Below are 17,043 nucleotides of genomic sequence, written 5' to 3'. Positions count from 1 at the left end.
GGGAACCGCCCTCTTGAGACCTTGGGTGAAGATCTTGGCGGGGAAGAGAGGTAGAGGGTTGCGGAGGGCAGGTGAAGTGTTCTTTATTGGGAGCTTAGTTTTTGGTGAGTGTTGGAAGAAGTATTTTCTAATACTTATATTGCCAAGCCAGTTTTTAACATTTCCTGTGGATCTCAGGCTTCGAGGGCTGGTGGTGTCAGGCCGTCTATCACCGTTTAATTGAGGGAGCAGAAGCTCCCTGGCCTCATTTAAATTATTCTCCTTCCCTCTCCTCACCTCCTGGCAGTGCTAGCTGGTTCTCAGTTGATTCCCAGTTCCTTCCCTCAAGGAGAGGATGCTTTCCTGTCTCTCCCAACCCTCTTTCTTCTCACTACCCCACTGAAGTCTCTCAGCTCTGGGTGATCATTGTAGAGAAGCATTTTAGGCACTTCAGACAGCCTCCTAGGGAGCTTGGCTAACTTGGCGGGCTGTGTGAATGTAGAATTTCATCTCTGTCCTTTTGTGGTCAGGAATGCGAACCCATTTCAGTGTTAGCAGAAGCGTAAGTGCTGTGCCAAAGTAAAAAGTAATTTATATAAGGCCTCTGTGAACTAAAAAGAAATGCTTCCGGGATTAACTCCAGCGAGAACAATTATAAACATCATGAGCATATTCTTGCTACTGGTACAATCTCTCTCGGTGCACCTTGCACTAACATGTTGGGTGACTTTGGGCAAGTTGCTCACCATTCTAGGTTATAGTTTTCTCTTTAGTAAAACTAGGAGAAGGGATTGGATTAAATCGGTGGTTCTCAACCCTGGCTAAGCATTAGAATCTAAACATTAGAATCACAGAAATCACAAGGCTTATAAAAATGCCGTGATTAGCCGGGTGCGGTGGCTCACGCCCGTAATCCCAGCACTTTGGGAGGCCGAGGCGGGCGGATCACGAGGTCAGGAGTTCGAGACCAGGCTGACCAACATGGTGAAACCTTGTATCTACTAAAAATACAAAATTTAGCCAGGCGTAGTGGCACAAGCCTGTAATCCCAGCTACTCAGGAGCCTGAGGCAGGAGAATCGCTTGAACCTGGGAGGCAGAGGTTGCAGTGAGCCGAGATCACGCCACTGAACTCCAGCCTGGGCGACAGAGTGGGACTCTGTCTCAAAAAAAAAAAAAAAAAAGCCTTGATTCCAGACTAATTAAATAGAATCTAAGGAGTGAAGACCAAACATCACTATATATATGTATGTATATATGTATGTATACGTATATATGTGTATATATGTATGTATACGTATATATGTGTATATATGTATGTATATGTATATATGTATATATAAAATTATTATTATTTTTGAGACAGAGTCTCGCTCTGTCGCCTAGGCTGGAGTGCAGTGGCATGATCTCAGCTGACTGCAACCTCCACCTCCCAGGTTCAAGCGATTCTCCTGCCTCAGCCTCCTGAGTAGCTGGGATTACAGGCATGTGCCACCACACCTGACTAATTTTTGTATTTTTTTTTTTGAGACGGAGTCTCGCTCTGTCGCCCAGGCTGGAGTGCAGTGGCGGGATCTCGGCTCACTGCAAGCTCCGCCTCCCGGGTTCACGCCATTCTCCTGCCTCAGCCTCCCAAGTAGCTGGGACTACAGGCGCCCGCCACTACGCCCGGCTAATTTTTTTTTTTTGTATTTTTAGTAGAGACGGGGTTTCACCGTTTTAGCCGGGATGGTCTCGATCTCCTGACCTCGTGATCCGCCCGCCTCGGCCTCCCAAAGTGCTGGGATTACAGGCGTGAGCCACCGCGCCCGGCCTAATTTTTGTATTTTTAGTAGAGATGGCATTTCACCGTGTTGGTTAGACTGGTCTTGAACTCCTGACCTCAGGTAATCTGCCCGCCTCGGCCTCCCAAAGTGCTGGGATTACAGGTGTGAGCCACCGTGCCTGGCCTTATCAGTATATTTTAAAAGCTGTTCTGGTGATTCTAATGTGTATCCAGGGTTGAAACTCACTGGGCTAAACCATATCTAAAACTATTTCCAGCTTTGGCATTCTCTCATTTTGTGATTCATTGGCATAGTTGAAGTTGACGTCATTATATTTACTTGCAGGGGGAGGAGAAATGGGTGCTGATTGCATTAGAAGAAAACATTCTTGAATTTTCTGAGTAAGATTTGAGAATTACTGATCAATGATTCATTCAACTATTTGCAGAATAGCATCCCAAATCCTGGGAGATGTGCAACTGTCAAAGGATTAGTGAGGAGAAGCACATGAAATGCTTAAGTGGCAGCATAAAGCAAAACATTTTAAGTGCCAAAATAAAAATTCTAATAAAAACGTTAGATACTGTGTGTATGTGTCTAAATTATATGTGTACTGTATCTTCTTTCTAAACATTTCTTAGTACTCATCATAGTCAAGCACTTTACATGTATGTATTCATTTAATCCCTAGAACAGTTCTGTGAAATATTATTACGAGTATCCCAAATTTGCAGATGAAGAATCTGAGGTACAAGGCAGTTAAGTAATAGAGTTCATTAGTGGTAGAGCTAGGATACAAATCCAGGCTATCTGACTCCAGAGCCTGAGTCTTACCGCTGTATACTGCATAAACCACAGTTGAGACCCCAGGAGGGTAGACCCAGAGCACTTTTCTGGGAATCTCTCTGTCTCTAATCATTATGCCCCTCTAGCTTGCTGGGCATGAGCTGTAGAGAATCCTGGCAGGGGAGGAGTGTTTGAGAAGAGGCTCTGCTCCAGAGAAGGGCTAATCAATAGAAGTGGGAAGAGTGAGAGCATCACAGAGCAGCCTGGCTCTGTCCTCCCCACTCTCTGGCTCCAGCTTCCAACTGCAGTGAGCAAGCAAAATAGAGGCAGATTGGAAATGCCTGGTGCCTCACCTCCAGAGCTGTGGGGCCTGGAAGAGAAGGACATGGGTTGGAAGTGTCAAGATAATGGTGACATGGGATAAGTGAAACAGAGGGTGAGGGCTAATGGGGGTTAGTGTTGGGGGGGTCTCAAAAGTGAGTCTAAATGTTAAGATTAGGCCAACTCAGGGAGAGTGTCAGGCCCATCCTGTATTACCCTCACCCTTCTTGGCACAACTGCCTGACATTTTCACAATCGGTGTAGAGACTGCCAGGATTCTGCAGACATTAGCCTCTCCCTTCTCTCCCACACACTGGCTGTTCCTTTGCCCTAGAGCTGAGCAGAGGACATGGGGTATCTGTATCTAGTGTCCCCATCTGATCTCTCTAGGGTTATCCTCCATCTGTTCTTTTTCTGGGCCTTTATTGTTCACTGTCTAACCTTAGTTTCTGCTGCAGTTGAAGCTCAGCTTCACTTGTCCTTGGTAGAGATGGACACAAGTCGCATACATATCTATCTGGAGAATGACTCTTGAAATTTGAAGTCTCTTTCTGCTCACCTCTCCTTACGATTTCCTACTCAGATTATTTTCCCTTGGACTGAATGAATGCAACTCCACACTCCTTTCTTCACTCATTTCCCTCTTCTTTTGAGGTCTCTTTCAGAGTTAGCTTTAATTAGCAAGCTCCAAACTGACTGGCTGGGCCAAACAGGGCTGGAAGCTGCTGAGTTGTTAGGGGTTGGATGAGGGCTGAGGGAGGACACAGAGTGAGTAGACAAGGCTTCACATACTGGGAGATCTGGCTGGGCTTCAAGAGAGGGGGTTGGTGGTGGTGTGGCTAAGTTCCAAATGTTGGCCTGAAGCCAGTGCTCAAAGAAAGGGGGCCCTTGAGACAGTCCAAATGGCTCCCTTTGGTAAGTGACCTCCCAGTCCTTCTCAAGTGTTAAGGGTTTCTTTTGGATCGTCAAAGACCGGAGCGGTCAAGCTGTTTCCCCACTGAATTCCCTCAATCACATTTATGTTCTTTTCCTCCCAGCCACTCCCATGGTTCAAGCTTTGACTACAACCAGAATTCAGAGGCAGGCAGAAGGATTCCAGTGCTGGAGAGGTGAGTGAAGTAAAAAAGTTCTCATGGTGTGCATGTTGGGACGGAAAAGCCTGACCTTGGGACATAAGCTCCAAGGCTCTGTTGCCAGATGAGGTGGAGGGAGAAGTTAGCCCTGAAGTGTGTGTTCTGGAAGTGTTTGCTTGTAAGCTAGAGACAACAGTTGCAAAAAGTGTGATTTGAGGGAGCTGAAAAATACTGATCTCAAAGTGGGGAAGAAGATGTTGAAAAGGGAAGGAGCTGGAGAAAGCCTCAGCTTCCACTCATACAAAAGCTAAAGGGCTAAAATCTTGGCTGGATCTGGACATTTCTCAACGTCTAAAATTTTGGAAATTTTTATAAAGATTATTAATCTTTCATTTTTACATTTAATTTATTTAAAAAGTTCAGTTTCTCAGTCATACTAGCCACATTTCTTTTTCTTTTTCTTTTTTTTTGAGACAGAGTCTCACTCTGTTGCCCAGGCTGAAGTACAGTGTATTAATCTATTCCATGGAGTGGAGTGGATAATCTATTCCATGGATTATCATTTTACTTTGTTAGTGGTATCCTTAGAAGCACAAAATTTTTAAATTTTTTTTTTTTTTTGAGGCAGAGTCTCACTGTGTCCCCCAGGCTGGAGTGCAGTGGTGCTATCTCTGCTCACTGCAGGCTCCGCCTTCTGGGTTCAAGCGATTCTTGTGCCTCAGCCTCCTGAGTAGCTGGGATTACAGGTGTGTACCACCACGCCCAGCTGATTTTTGTATTTTTAGTAGAGATGGGTTTTTGTCATATTGGCCAGGCTGGTCTCAAACTCCTGACCTCAAGTGATCCACCTCCCTCCCTCCCAAAGTGCTGGGATTACCATGTCTGGCTTGGAAATTATTTTGAAATAATTATAGATCAGAGGAAGTTGTAAAAATAGCACATGAAGTCTTGTGTACCTTTCACTCAGTTTCCCCTAATGGTGACATCTTATGTAACTGTAGCATAAAATCAAAACCAAAAAGTTGATATTGGTACAGTATTGTTAACTGGCCTGCAGACCTCACTCAGTTTTCACCATTTTTTACATGCATTTATTTGTTTGTTTGTAGTTCTGTGCAGTTTTATATCTTGTATAGATTTGGATAATCACCACCACAATCAAGATACAAAACCCATCACCACAAAGGAACCCCCTTGTGCTATTCCTTTATGTTTGTCCCCACCCCCCTCCATCCTTGTCCCCTGGCAGCCAGTAATCTGGTCTTCATTTCTATAGTTTTGTCATTTTGAGAATGGTATGCGAGTGGAATAATACAGTTTCAGCATTTTTTGTTTGGAGACAGGGTCTCACTCTATCACCCAGGCTGGAGTGCAGTGGCAAGATCATGGCTCACTGCAGCCTTCACCTCCTGGGCTCAAGTGACACTCCCGCCTAGCCTCCTGAGTAGCTGGGACCACAGATTTGGCTAACTTTTCTATTTTTTGTAGAGATGGGGGTCTCCCTATGTTGCCCAGGCTGGTCTCCAACTCCTGGGCTCAAGTGATCCTCCTGCCTTGGCCTCTCAAAGTGCTGGGATTGCAGGCATGAGCCACTGTGCCCAGCTCAGCATTAATTTTTAATTTAACTAATTCCTAAGCTCTTGACTGAAATACAAGAAGTTCTCTAACAGTTTATTTATTTTAATATTGAGCTTACCGCATTCTCTGGATCCTTCTAGTTTCTTTTTTTTTTCTTTTTTTCTGATGTGGAGTCTCTGTCACCCAGGCTGGAGTGCAGTGGTGCCATCTCAGCTCACTGCAACCTCCGTCTCCTGGGTTTAAGTGATTCTTGTGCCTCAGTCTCTGGAGTAGCTGGGATTACAGGTACCCGCCACCACACCCGGCTAATTTTTGTATTTTTAGTAGAGACAGGGTTTCACCGTGTTGGTCCGGCTGGTCTTGAACTTCTGATCTCAGGTGATCCGCCTGCTTCGGCCTCCCAAAGTGCTGGGATTATAGGCGTGAGCCACCGCGCCCGGCCCCGTCTAGTTTCTTAATTTCCCTCTTCACCTACGATATTATCTTCCACTCCAACATTCTGGTCTCATTTCTCCTTGAGAGAAATCTACATGTCTAAATTTACTAGGCTGGTCTAGCACGCTCTTGTGTGTTCCCCTCCCTCCTTTGCCCCTCTATTTATAGCCAGGCTAATTTTGGGTGGCCTCTCTCTCTCTTCTTTCCTGATCTTTCCTCCTGTGGTGGTGAGGTGACTTCTCAAATATTTGGAGAGAGGAGGTCAGAAGCAGATTCTTGGCATCTGATTTCAGCCCTGGATCACAGAAGCCAGTGGAGTGGGAATGGAGACAGGCAGAAGCTGCAGGTGCAGATAGGAGGCAGCTTGGGCTCTAAAGGCATTTTGAGCTGGGTCGGGGGCGGGGGGACCTGGGCAGGGAGTCAGTAGTCCCAGTTCTGTCCTAATTTTGCAATTCTGCATTCCCATGTCAGCTCTTCTCTACTGTCTGGGGCTCTGAGATATTAAAAAGGATGGGGAGGGCATGGTGAAAGTAGAATCCTGGTGCCAGCCCTGCTGACAGCATATGTATTTCCTTATAGTACCTGTTTAGAGATGTGTTAGTGCTCTGGAGGGGATAGCCACAGGTGTAGTATTGGAAAACAGAGGGCCAGACTTCCAAATGTCTGTTAACTTATCCAAGGCAAAGACTGTCCCAGGGCAGCAGAGTAAGAACCCACTTTTTTTTTGTTTTCAAAGAAGTATAATCCTGAACAATGAAGTAGGAAAGACAGAACACAGGAAGAGGAAGGAGGTAGGACACTTATTGGAACTTTTAAGAAAGGGAAAGAGAAGAAAGAATCGTAAGAATATGATAGTGTTTGAAGGGCAGAGACAACACTAGAAACATTGAGAAATACTCTGAGAAAGATTCCAAGTGTGGCAGAGACAAGAATGATGACAAAATAGAATTTGGGATGAGACAAAATCAGATAGTGAGAGAGAGAAGGGAAGATGGACAGATGTATATTCACAAGACCAACACCAGTAAGCAAGGGGAGTAGGAAGGGGAAGTGGGAGCATTCGAGGTTCCCATTATGCCAAATTATTTCCTGTCTCTCCTTCTGGCCCCATTTCTGTATCGGAGTTATAAATAGCAGAGAGTTGGAAAGTGTCCCCCCACCCCCTTGCCTCTGTCCCAGCCTGAGGGAAAGGGAGAGGAAGAGGGACAGGCCAATGGGTCCCTGTGGAGATCCCATCTCAGCCCCACCCAGGTCCTGCTGAGCCAGTCCAGGACTCTGCCCCCTCCCATCCCCTTTCATGGATAGGAAATGTGCAGTCCTGGGACGGGTCTGGTAGCTGGGGACACCCTTTACATCCCTCTGCCTCTTGGGTCCAGTCTCTTTCATCTTTGCCTTCTTTGACACCCACTCCCCTCCCCACTGCTTAATTTCCTCTTCCTGTAATCATCCCCAGTCGTTTTCTTTTCTCCCTTCATTCCATCCCTTGTCAATTAATCTCTTGCCCTTCTTTCTTCCTCTCTATTCCTTTCCTTTTTCCATTTCTCCATTTGCTCCCCGTATCTCCCGAGTTTCTCTCTCTCTTCTTGCCTCTTTTTCTCTGTTCCCTTGAATCCTGACGATGTGGCTAGCACTGCTGTGGTCATTGCCGGGCTGGGGGCGGGGGATGGGATAGGATGGGGGAGGGCAGCGGTCTGATCCCAACAGCAGAAAGAGTGCTCTATGTGACCATGGGGGAACAGGGAGCACTAAGATGCCACGCTGCACCCAGGCCCAGGACGGCTCCCCTTTCATTTCCTCTCTATCTGCACATCTCTCTTCCCAGGTTGTCTTTTAGCGTCTTCCCAACTTCTCATCTCTTACCCTCCTTCCTCTGTTTCAGCCCCTCTCTTTCTATCTGTACTTCTCTCCCTCCGCATTCCAAGGCGCCGCCTCCACCACTCCCGGGGTGGGGATGGGGTTGGGGGAGAAGGGGAGGAGAGCGCCGCGCAGGGGCGGAGCCGGAGACGGTGCTGGGCTTGGGGGGCGTGGTGGTGGGGGGTCAGCAAGGCTAGTTTCCATCCCAGCCACCAGCCTGGGCATCCCCTTGGAGACGGGCTTGGGTCTCCACCTGCCGCGGGAGCGAGGGGCGGGGCCGGAGGCGGGGCCTGAGTGGCGTCCCCGGGAGAGGAGGCGGGAGCCGGAGTGGGCGCCGGAGCTGCGGCTGCTGTAGTTGTCCTAGCCGGTGCTGGGGCGGCGGGGTGGCGGAGCGGCGGGCGGGCGGGAGGGCTGGCGGGGCGAACGTCTGGGAGACGTCTGAAAGACCAACGAGACTTTGGAGACCAGAGACGCGCCTGGGGGGACCTGGGGCTTGGGGCGTGCGAGATTTCCCTTGCATTCGCTGGGAGCTCGCGCAGGGATCGTCCCATGGCCGGGGCTCGGAGCCGCGACCCTTGGGGGGCCTCCGGGATTTGCTACCTTTTTGGCTCCCTGCTCGTCGAACTGCTCTTCTCACGGGCTGTCGCCTTCAATCTGGACGTGATGGGTGCCTTGCGCAAGGAGGGCGAGCCAGGCAGCCTCTTCGGCTTCTCTGTGGCCCTGCACCGGCAGTTGCAGCCCCGACCCCAGAGCTGGTGAGTCACCGCACCCGCCCAGAGTCGCCATGCCCGAGCCACAGATCGTCCCCCTCCCCACTCTGTGGGCCTCCTCATTTCTCTGTTTTCTAGCCCCACCAAGACCTAGACTGCCCACAGACATCCCACATCCCAACCTGGAGCCTTGCCTCATCTGGCTTGCGTCTGAAGCTGCACTTCCCGGCCCTGAGACCAGTATTTTGCTTTAGGGATGAGTTGGAAAGCAAGGTTCTTGTCTTGGCAGCGAACCATCTCCTTCTTCTGGGCCTTTCCCCCAACTTGCATCCTTGATCCAGCCCCAGGGCCTCTGGCTCCCCTGCTTCTTCCAAGGGCTGAATTCCCCAAGGGAGGGAGACTGTCTGTCTCTGCTTAGAATGGGAGGAGATGGAAAGGACATAGAAGTTGAGGGTGCCATGAGAGGGATGCATGCAGGGCAGACTCCAGAAATAACTTCCTGCTAGAGCATTGCCATGGATGGAATGAGGGCAGCAGGGCACTGGAAGGCCAGGAGAGAGCTTCCACTTCTGTGGCTTAAGACCACGGGAAGATTGGGAGAGGATCTGCAGGTCTGCCAACCTGCAGTAGGTGGCTTGGTGATAGAGAGTGGCAGCAAACTGAACCCTCAAAGTACTAGTAGCAGTAGTAGTAGCCGCAGCAGCTGTAGCAGTGAGAGAGATCCAGGAAGGATGCTGGCCAGGCTGCTCCCCTTCCTCCTCCTTAGCAAATTTCCAACTCCAGGAATCTCAGCAGCTGGGAAGGGCCAGGAGGAGTAAGGGGTGGAGGACAATTCTAATTTTTTCTAATCAGTTCAGGACCCATGGGAGATGGATATACTTTTGTGAGGGGCCTGTGACTGGTCATGTTGCCTGTATCCTTGGCTCTTGCTACATGTCTGATTGTAAAAAGGGAGGCCAGAGGTGAAGAAAGCTTCTCACCTGCTCCTGCTAGGGGGCTTTTCTCTCTTCAACCAGTGCCTAAGCCACATTAAGTATCCATTACTGGGATCAATGCTGTCCACTGGGACTGTCTTCTGCCTCTACTGTCGGTCTGGGGGCAGGGGGCAGGGACAAGAGCTCATTTCTCCTCACTTGCTTGGGGAGTGGGGGCCTAGCTCTAATCTTTCTTCTTCCATTATCCCTATCATCTGGTAGCAGGGTCGGTGGTCCCCAAAACTTTGGGAGAGATAGAAAGCAACGGACTTCATCTCCTCTTCTGTTTACCATCTGCTTCCTCATTCACCTTTGCTCCCTCCCTCCCTTCCTCCCTCCTTCTCCATCTGTCAGAGTTCGAGGACTGGAGGCCTTTTTAGGACATGCTGAACTCTCTAAGCTATTTCCAGGCAAATTCTAGGTTATTTTTAATAGCTTGGTCTCTTGTCATTTCCCCCTCCTCTCTGAAGGTGGCCCCTGGTTCCGTCTCCCAGAGCCAAGCTGGGGCCTTTCCCAGAGGGCCTGACTGCCTCACCCTGCTTTTGCTCCAGCAGGGGGTGCTCTGCTGCTGGGGGGCGGGGGGTATGTGAGAGGCCAGGCACCTGCTCAGTCCCTAGCTTTTGAGTTGCAGGTGGCCTGCCTTAGCACTCACTGATGAAAAAAACTTCTTGCCTGTTTTGATGTCTTTTAGTCTAGCTCTGGGATGAGACTTTAAGGTCTAACCTTTGCTGTGTGGTTCCAGCCTCATTTACTTCCCTCAACTGTAAAAAGGATATAAACATAGTATTACTACATAGGGTTGTTGTGCAGATTAAGAGTTCTTAATATATATAAAATGCTTAGAATAGTGCATAGCCCGCAGTGAGTGCTGTGAAGTGTTAGTAGTATTGCTATTCTTGTATTGTGATTCACAGAGCGCCTTACAGAGATTCTGGATCCAAAGGCTTGGCTAGAGGGCCTCCCTGGCTGAGCCAGCCTTCCAGGCCAAGCATCCTCCCCAGAGGGCCACCCAGATTGAGAGGGGCCAAAGAGGGGCTGGACTTGGGCTGGGGCCCTGGAGTGTGTGGAGAATCGAGAAGTGCAGTGGTCGTGGGCTACTCCTTTGTCTTCACTTAGCTGAGCTCCCAGGGGGTCCCTCTGCCCCCCAGCTGCCAACACTTTTTTTTTTTTTTTTTTGCTTTTCTCTCTGCAGTGGCTACACTGTGGCTGTCCAGAAGACTGGGGTGGTTAGGGCGTATGGCATGAAGCCAGGAAGGAGTGTGTGTGGCTGGACCAGAGGTGGAGGGACTAGAGAGGATGCTGCTGGGTGCTCTTGTTCCACTAAGGATCGATTGGTCTCTTCTCCACCAAGAGCGGACTGGGCATATCTATGCACTCAGCTTCTTTCTTCCACATGGGCCCCTCCCCTCCTCCCTACTTTTGGCCTCCAGAGGAGATGTGAACATAGAACAAGGATAACTTATCTGGGTGCTTAGCTATGCACTGACCAGCTGTGACACTGGGTATCTCTATGAGTCCACAAAATGTGTGTGTTCAGTAAACACATTCTGACACTCCCTATGGGGCAAGCACAAAGATGAAAAGACAGCCCCGACACTCAGAGAGATGGCCACTTCTATGTTTGGAGGCTGGGGGTACTGCTGACTTGCCTGAAGGTTGCCATTTATTTATGCAGGGCTGTATCACCCCGTTTCCTTTTCTGCCCAGGGTACCCTCATCTCCCCACTCTCTCCTTCCCTTTCTGGGGTGGTCTCAGTGTTCTAGAGACAGGTCAGTCACTGGGTGGAGTGACAAAGTGTTGGAGTTAGGCCCATGTGGATTTGAATTCCAGCATCACTGCTTAATGTCTTTGAGTGAGTTTTCTCATCTGAAAGACAAGAAAAGAATCCTTATCTCATAGGATTGTTCTGATGATTAAATGACATAATGCATGTGACTTGCCTATCCTGGTGCTTGGCACATATGTGGACAGTGATGAATGTTAGTTTCTTATATCCCTGGTGTCTAGCCTCGGATCTGACGTCATAGTAGGTGCTGAATAAATATGATTTCCTTGTCTCACCAGCGCCTGACACAGGGCTTGGCATACAATAGACTCTCAATAAGTAGTTGAATGCCAAATGTGTCTTCTCTTCTCTACTACTCCCTATACCCCTTCTCTGTCTTGACACTGGCTCTGACAAGGGATGGCAGCTGCTAAGAGATGAGGAGGAGTTGTGGGAAGGAAGAATGGCTCTCTGCCCTCCCCCTCCACCCCATCAGAGCTGGCACAGTGCCCCACAGATGCCTGTCTGTAATACTGCCTAACATGGTTTTGGGCCTTGCCCCCCAGGAAGGGAGATGGAGGAGAAGAGTGTGGGAGAGAGGCGTTGAGGTTTGTCCCACTGCCACTTCTGAGTCTCTCCTTCTGCAAAGAGAGGACCCATGGAGCCAGCTGGGTGTCAGTCATCTTACCTCACCCCCGCCTTCACTCTGGCTTGGGGGTTCAGCCCCAGGGGACCCAGGCAGCCTCCATTCCCAGCACTGTGCTCCCCTGGGGAAGACGGCTTGGCTGTGATCATGGAAAATTGTCCTGCCAAGAAAGTTGTAGCTGGGAAAGAGGCTGAGGGGGAGGCAGGAGAGAAGACTGGGTGGGGGTGGAAGGGAAGGAGAAATCATGGACATGGGGAGAAGGAAGGATGGGGAAGGGGATTCAGGATGTCGGGAAGAGAATGGGGTAGCATTGGAGGCAGAAGGAGAAACTTGTCCCTACCTCCATGCCAGCCAGAGTGACTGATGGAATCCTGGGCTGGCACAGCTTCTGGGAGGTGGGGTCTTTGCTGGGTCCCTGATGAGGGGGCAGTGGGTCCGTATCTAGCCTCTTGCCTGGCCTCTGAAGCTGGTCCCTGAGCCACACTCTGATGCCAGTCTGGGGCCCTGTTACTTTTGCTCCCAGCATTCTTGGCATTTCTGGCTGGGTTTCAACTGGACTGGGTTGGGGAGCAGGGCAGAGCTTGGGGATGGGGCCAAGGAGGGGATAGGGAAGGCCTACTCAGGAACAGGTGCTGGGAACAGGCAGTTCTTTCAAACCAGCACTGTTGGCCTGGCTGCTTGGGTTGGCGTGTATGTGTGTGTGTGTGTGTGTGTGTGTATCTACTGTGTATGTTGATCCCTTATCCAGATAGTATGTACATGCAACGTGATGACTGCATGACCAAGCATATTAATTTGTCCTTGCCAGGGTTTGAGAAAACTGACATTTGCCCCTTCTCTTTAGTCCTTGAACACTCTCTTTAGTACTGAGGGGTTGGGCCTGGGCAGCTCTAATGAGATTGGGTCATTCTGACCTCTAACTCCTGTCCCTGTCCCTGCCCCTGCCCCATCTTGCAGGCTGCTGGTGGGTGCTCCCCAGGCCCTGGCTCTTCCTGGGCAGCAGGCGAATCGCACTGGAGGCCTCTTCGCTTGCCCGTTGAGCCTGGAGGAGACTGACTGCTACAGAGTGGACATCGACCAGGGAGGTGTGGCCCTGCATGAACAGAGTGGGGGAAGCGTGTGAGCGGGGAGGAGAGGACTTGGGCTCCTCTTCCCTCCCCTAATTCCCAGTGTCCTGCCTCTAGCTGATATGCAAAAGGAAAGCAAGGAGAACCAGTGGTTGGGAGTCAGTGTTCGGAGCCAGGGGCCTGGGGGCAAGATTGTTGTGAGTATTGCTTCTCATGACTGAATGCACGGATGGGGTGTGTGTGTGTGTGTGTTTATGGTGTGTGCATACGCATAGGTGTGCTTAGAGAACACAAGTTAGGAATATGGTATGATTCCAAGTACATCAGGGAGATATAAAAAGGTGTGAGACATGGTCCTTGTCCTTATAAATGTAAAAATGTCTGTCCATTCATTCATCCATCCATTTGTCAAACTCTTACTGAGAACCTTTTAAGCATCAGGCATTGTGCTAGTTACTACAGGGGAAGGCTCATGCCTGTAATCCCAGCACTTTCGGAGGCCGAGGCAGGTGGATCACCTGAGGTCAGGAGTTCGAGACCAGCCGGACCAACATGGCGAAACCCTGTCTCTCCTAAAAATACAAAAAAATTAGCCGGGCGTGGCCGGGTGCGGTGGCTCACGCTTGTAATCCCAGCACTTTGGGAGGCCGAGGTGGGTGGATCACGAGGTAAGGAGATCGAGACCATGGTGAAACCCCGTCTCTACTAAAAACACAAAAAATTAGCCGGGCGTGGTGGCGGGCGCCTGTAGTCCCAGCTACTCAGAGAGGCTGAGGCAGGAGAATGGCGTGAACCGGAGAGGCGGAGCTTGCAGTGAGCTGAGATCGCGCCACTGCGCTCCAGCCTGGGTGACAGAGCGAGACTCCGTCTCAAAAAAAAAAAAAAATTAGCTAGGTGTGGTGGCAGGCGCCTGTAATCCCAGGTACTCGGGAGGCTGAGGTAGGAGAATCACTTGAACCTGGGTGGAGGAGGTTGCAGTGAGCTGAGATCGCACCATTGTACCCTAGCCTGGGAGACAAGAGCAAAGTTCCGTCTCAAAACCAACCAAACAAACAAACGAAAAAACCAGAGCTCTCTGTTTCTCTCTCTCTCTCTATCTTTCAGTAACACGCATAGATACACAATTACCAATACAGATCACTGTGGGGCAGAATCTGGTTCATGTTAAGTGAGTGGTCTAGTCTCCAGTCTATAAAAGTCCAAAGGAGGAGTAGAGAGAAGACTTCTGCAGAGGGGATGATTTGAGCCAGGCTTTAATAATAGGTAATACCTAGCCTGTGCAACATAGTGGGACCTCATCTTTATAAAAAATAAAAACAAATTAGCCAGTCATGGTGGTGCATGCCTGTAGTCCCAGCTACACAGGAGGCTGAGGTGGGAGGATCACTTGAGCCCTGGAGGTCGAGGCTGCAGTGAGCCATGATTGTGCCACTGCACTCCAGCCTGGGTGACAGAGTGAGACCTTGCTTCAAAAAAAAAAAAAAAGTAATACTTGGAGAGTGAAGCGGACAGGAAGTTCTTTGCAGATGAGATGGTGACACTTACAAAGGTCCAGGGACAGGGCCAAGCTTGGCATTTTGGAGGACTGTGACATGATCAGGGAGACACACATCCTATGTGGTGGCTTAATTGTGTCTTTTGGCTCCAGGCAGAATGTGGAACAAGGAGATCTCCATTTGAGGGCAAGGAAGTGGGTGCAGACAGGTTGCTGGGTTATGCATGGACCTGTGTAACACTGGCAGGGTAATGGTGCTTGAGTGGTGCCGGCATAGGGGTGTGTGTGTATGTGTGCATGTGCATGTGCATGTGAGCACACATGTATCAGTATCTGCCAAATCTCTGCATATGGGCAGCATGCCTCAAGCAGGTCCCTGGCCCACAGAGTGAAATGATCCCCATCCCTTCCTCCCCCAGACCTGTGCACACCGATATGAGGCAAGGCAGCGAGTGGACCAGATCCTGGAGACGCGGGATATGATTGGTCGCTGCTTTGTGCTCAGCCAGGACCTGGCCATCCGGGATGAGTTGGATGGTGGGGAATGGAAGTTCTGTGAGGGACGCCCCCAAGGCCATGAACAATTTGGGTTCTGCCAGCAGGGCACAGCTGCCGCCTTCTCCCCTGATAGCCACTACCTCCTCTTTGGGGCCCCAGGAACCTATAATTGGAAGGGTGAGTCACTCCTCGGGAAGGGGAGAAGGGGACCAAAACCTCCTCTTACCTCAGAGACAGGGTTGGGGATGGCACATGGCCAAGCATGACCACATGTGCACTGCTGTATGGCCCCAGGGCACTGCCATGCCTTCCACCCCATTGAGCTAGTGCACACATGAATGGGGGGTGCCTCCTTTCCCTCGCACGGCCAAGTGTTCCTCAACATGCTGGCATGGGCCCCAAGTGCACGCTGGGCCTGCAGCTGGGGCCTGCATGCTCCAACACACTAGCCCACACCTCATCACTGCCATTCCCGTCTCCGCACGCTGCTGCTGGCTGAGCTGACACTCGGTGAGTGTGATGCCACATCTGGGGGACCCCAGGAAGCCTGGGTTGGGGACAGGGTGGGGAGAGGGCTAGAAAGAAGAGGCAGGGCTTCCCCGTGTGCCTGTCTAACTCAGTGTCCGGCCTGAGGGGTGTTCCTTGCGCCCTGCCCTGGGCACTAACAGGTCTGTCCTTGCAGGCACGGCCAGGGTGGAGCTCTGTGCACAGGGCTCAGCGGACCTGGCACACCTGGACGACGGTCCCTACGAGGCGGGGGGAGAGAAGGAGCAGGACCCCCGCCTCATCCCGGTCCCTGCCAACAGCTACTTTGGTAGGGACCTCTCCCCGGCCCAGAACTGCTCTAACCCTCTGCTCCTCTCTCTTGTCCTCTCTCTCCATGCTCCCATCCTTCTGTCTCTGTTTCTGTCTCTCACCTTGTCTCTCTCTGTCTTTCTGTCTCTGGCTGTGATCTCTCTGGTCTCTTTTTCTCTCTCCACCTCTTCTTCTTCCACCATTTTCTGGCCTTTCTGTGGCTCTGTCTCCCTACTCTGTGGCCCCTACTCTGGATGTCCCCTCCCTGGTGTCTCACCCCACCCCCCACAGGGTTGCTTTTTGTGACCAACATTGATAGCTCAGACCCCGACCAGCTGGTGTATAAAACTTTGGACCCTGCTGACCGGCTCCCAGGACCAGCCGGAGACTTGGCCCTCAATAGCTACTTAGGTTTGTAAGCTCCCACCTCCTGGACTCTAGGGGCATGGCCCAGCCTCCCCTCCTTCCCCAGGGAACTCGACCTTTGGTGCCTTATAATCTCCTCCTCCCCCAACACACACCCAGGGAGACATACATTGGGCCCAAATTGCAGAGAAGAGCTGGGTCCAATGATCAGGCCTAAGAGGAGGAGGCCCCCAGGGTGGTGGCCTCTGGGGCTGTGAGCCAGGGGTCTCCATGGAGGAAGATTCAGGTGGAATGAGAGGGCCAGGGCTGAGGATATTTTGGGAAGGACAGTCCTGTCTTCTAGGGGGACTTTCCCTGAGGGGATGGATGGTGGGCACATATTGAAGAAAGGGCTAATGTTGTTGGTAAGTCCCTCTCGTTGTCTCATCTGCATTCCTCTGCAGAGGAGGAGGAAACCAGGCCTGGGAGATGTTTGGGTGAAGCAGGCGCTCTCTCACTCCCCCTTGTCTCCCCCTCATCCATGTGAAGACTTCCCCTCCCTGCCAGGATGAGGGAGTTGGGGGAAAGAGGTGCACTGGGTGGGATTCGGGCCTGAGAGGGACCTCTAGCTCTTCTAGCTCCCTGGGTGTGGGCAGGGTGAGGCCACTGTGCTCAGCCTCCTACCTGGGCTCCTGGCCTTCTCAGCCATCACCTTTCTCTCTCTTGCCCAGTCCCTGAGGCTGACCTCACTGCACTTTTTGTGCCAAGCTTGTCTCTGGGCCTGGTGGGTGTGGGAGGCTGCCAGGCCCTGTGGGGAGGAAGAGCTATCCAGCTGTGGTGCTGATGACTTGGGGGGACCTATCTTTTGGCTCTTAACCTAGGGGAGGGGGCAGGGTGCAGGGGAGCTGTGACTTGGCTCTTAACCTGTAGGGAGGGGGCAGGGGCTGGGGGAGCTG

At 51.0% G+C, this 17,043-nt stretch overlaps 1 protein-coding gene across 27 annotated transcripts in view, besides 1 other annotated feature; it reads left to right on the top strand.

The window, feature by feature from the left end:
- The window catches only part of ITGA7 (integrin subunit alpha 7), a 31,833-nt gene that overhangs the window by 378 nt on the left and 14,412 nt on the right, over positions 1 to 17,043 (top strand). For 4 of the 27 annotated variants that reach the window (NM_001414031.1, NM_001374465.1, NM_001414034.1 and 1 more), the window contains exons 1-5: positions 8,119 to 8,546; positions 12,845 to 12,972; positions 13,072 to 13,151; positions 14,869 to 15,124; positions 16,034 to 16,153. In NM_001414031.1, coding sequence (NP_001400960.1) covers positions 8,341 to 8,546; positions 12,845 to 12,972; positions 13,072 to 13,151; positions 14,869 to 15,124; positions 16,034 to 16,153 — 790 coding nt within the window. In that variant the 5' untranslated portion in view covers positions 8,119 to 8,340. The other 23 variants (XM_005268840.3, NM_001410977.1, XM_005268841.3 and 20 more) reach the window with 17 other exon arrangements.
- Positions 7,996 to 8,205: a silencer, noted in NCBI's record as "silent region_4534". NCBI's record gives its function as "represses an Ori minimal core promoter by ATAC-STARR-seq in GM12878 lymphoblastoid cells {active_cell/tissue: GM12878}" and the evidence as "EXISTENCE:reporter gene assay evidence [ECO:0000049][PMID:35858748]".

The sequence above is a fragment of the Homo sapiens genome, chromosome 12 (genome assembly GCF_000001405.40).
Source record: "Homo sapiens chromosome 12, GRCh38.p14 Primary Assembly".
NCBI classification, from domain to species: Eukaryota; Metazoa; Chordata; class Mammalia; order Primates; family Hominidae; genus Homo; species Homo sapiens.
This window is presented reverse-complemented; position numbering and strand designations above follow the sequence as displayed.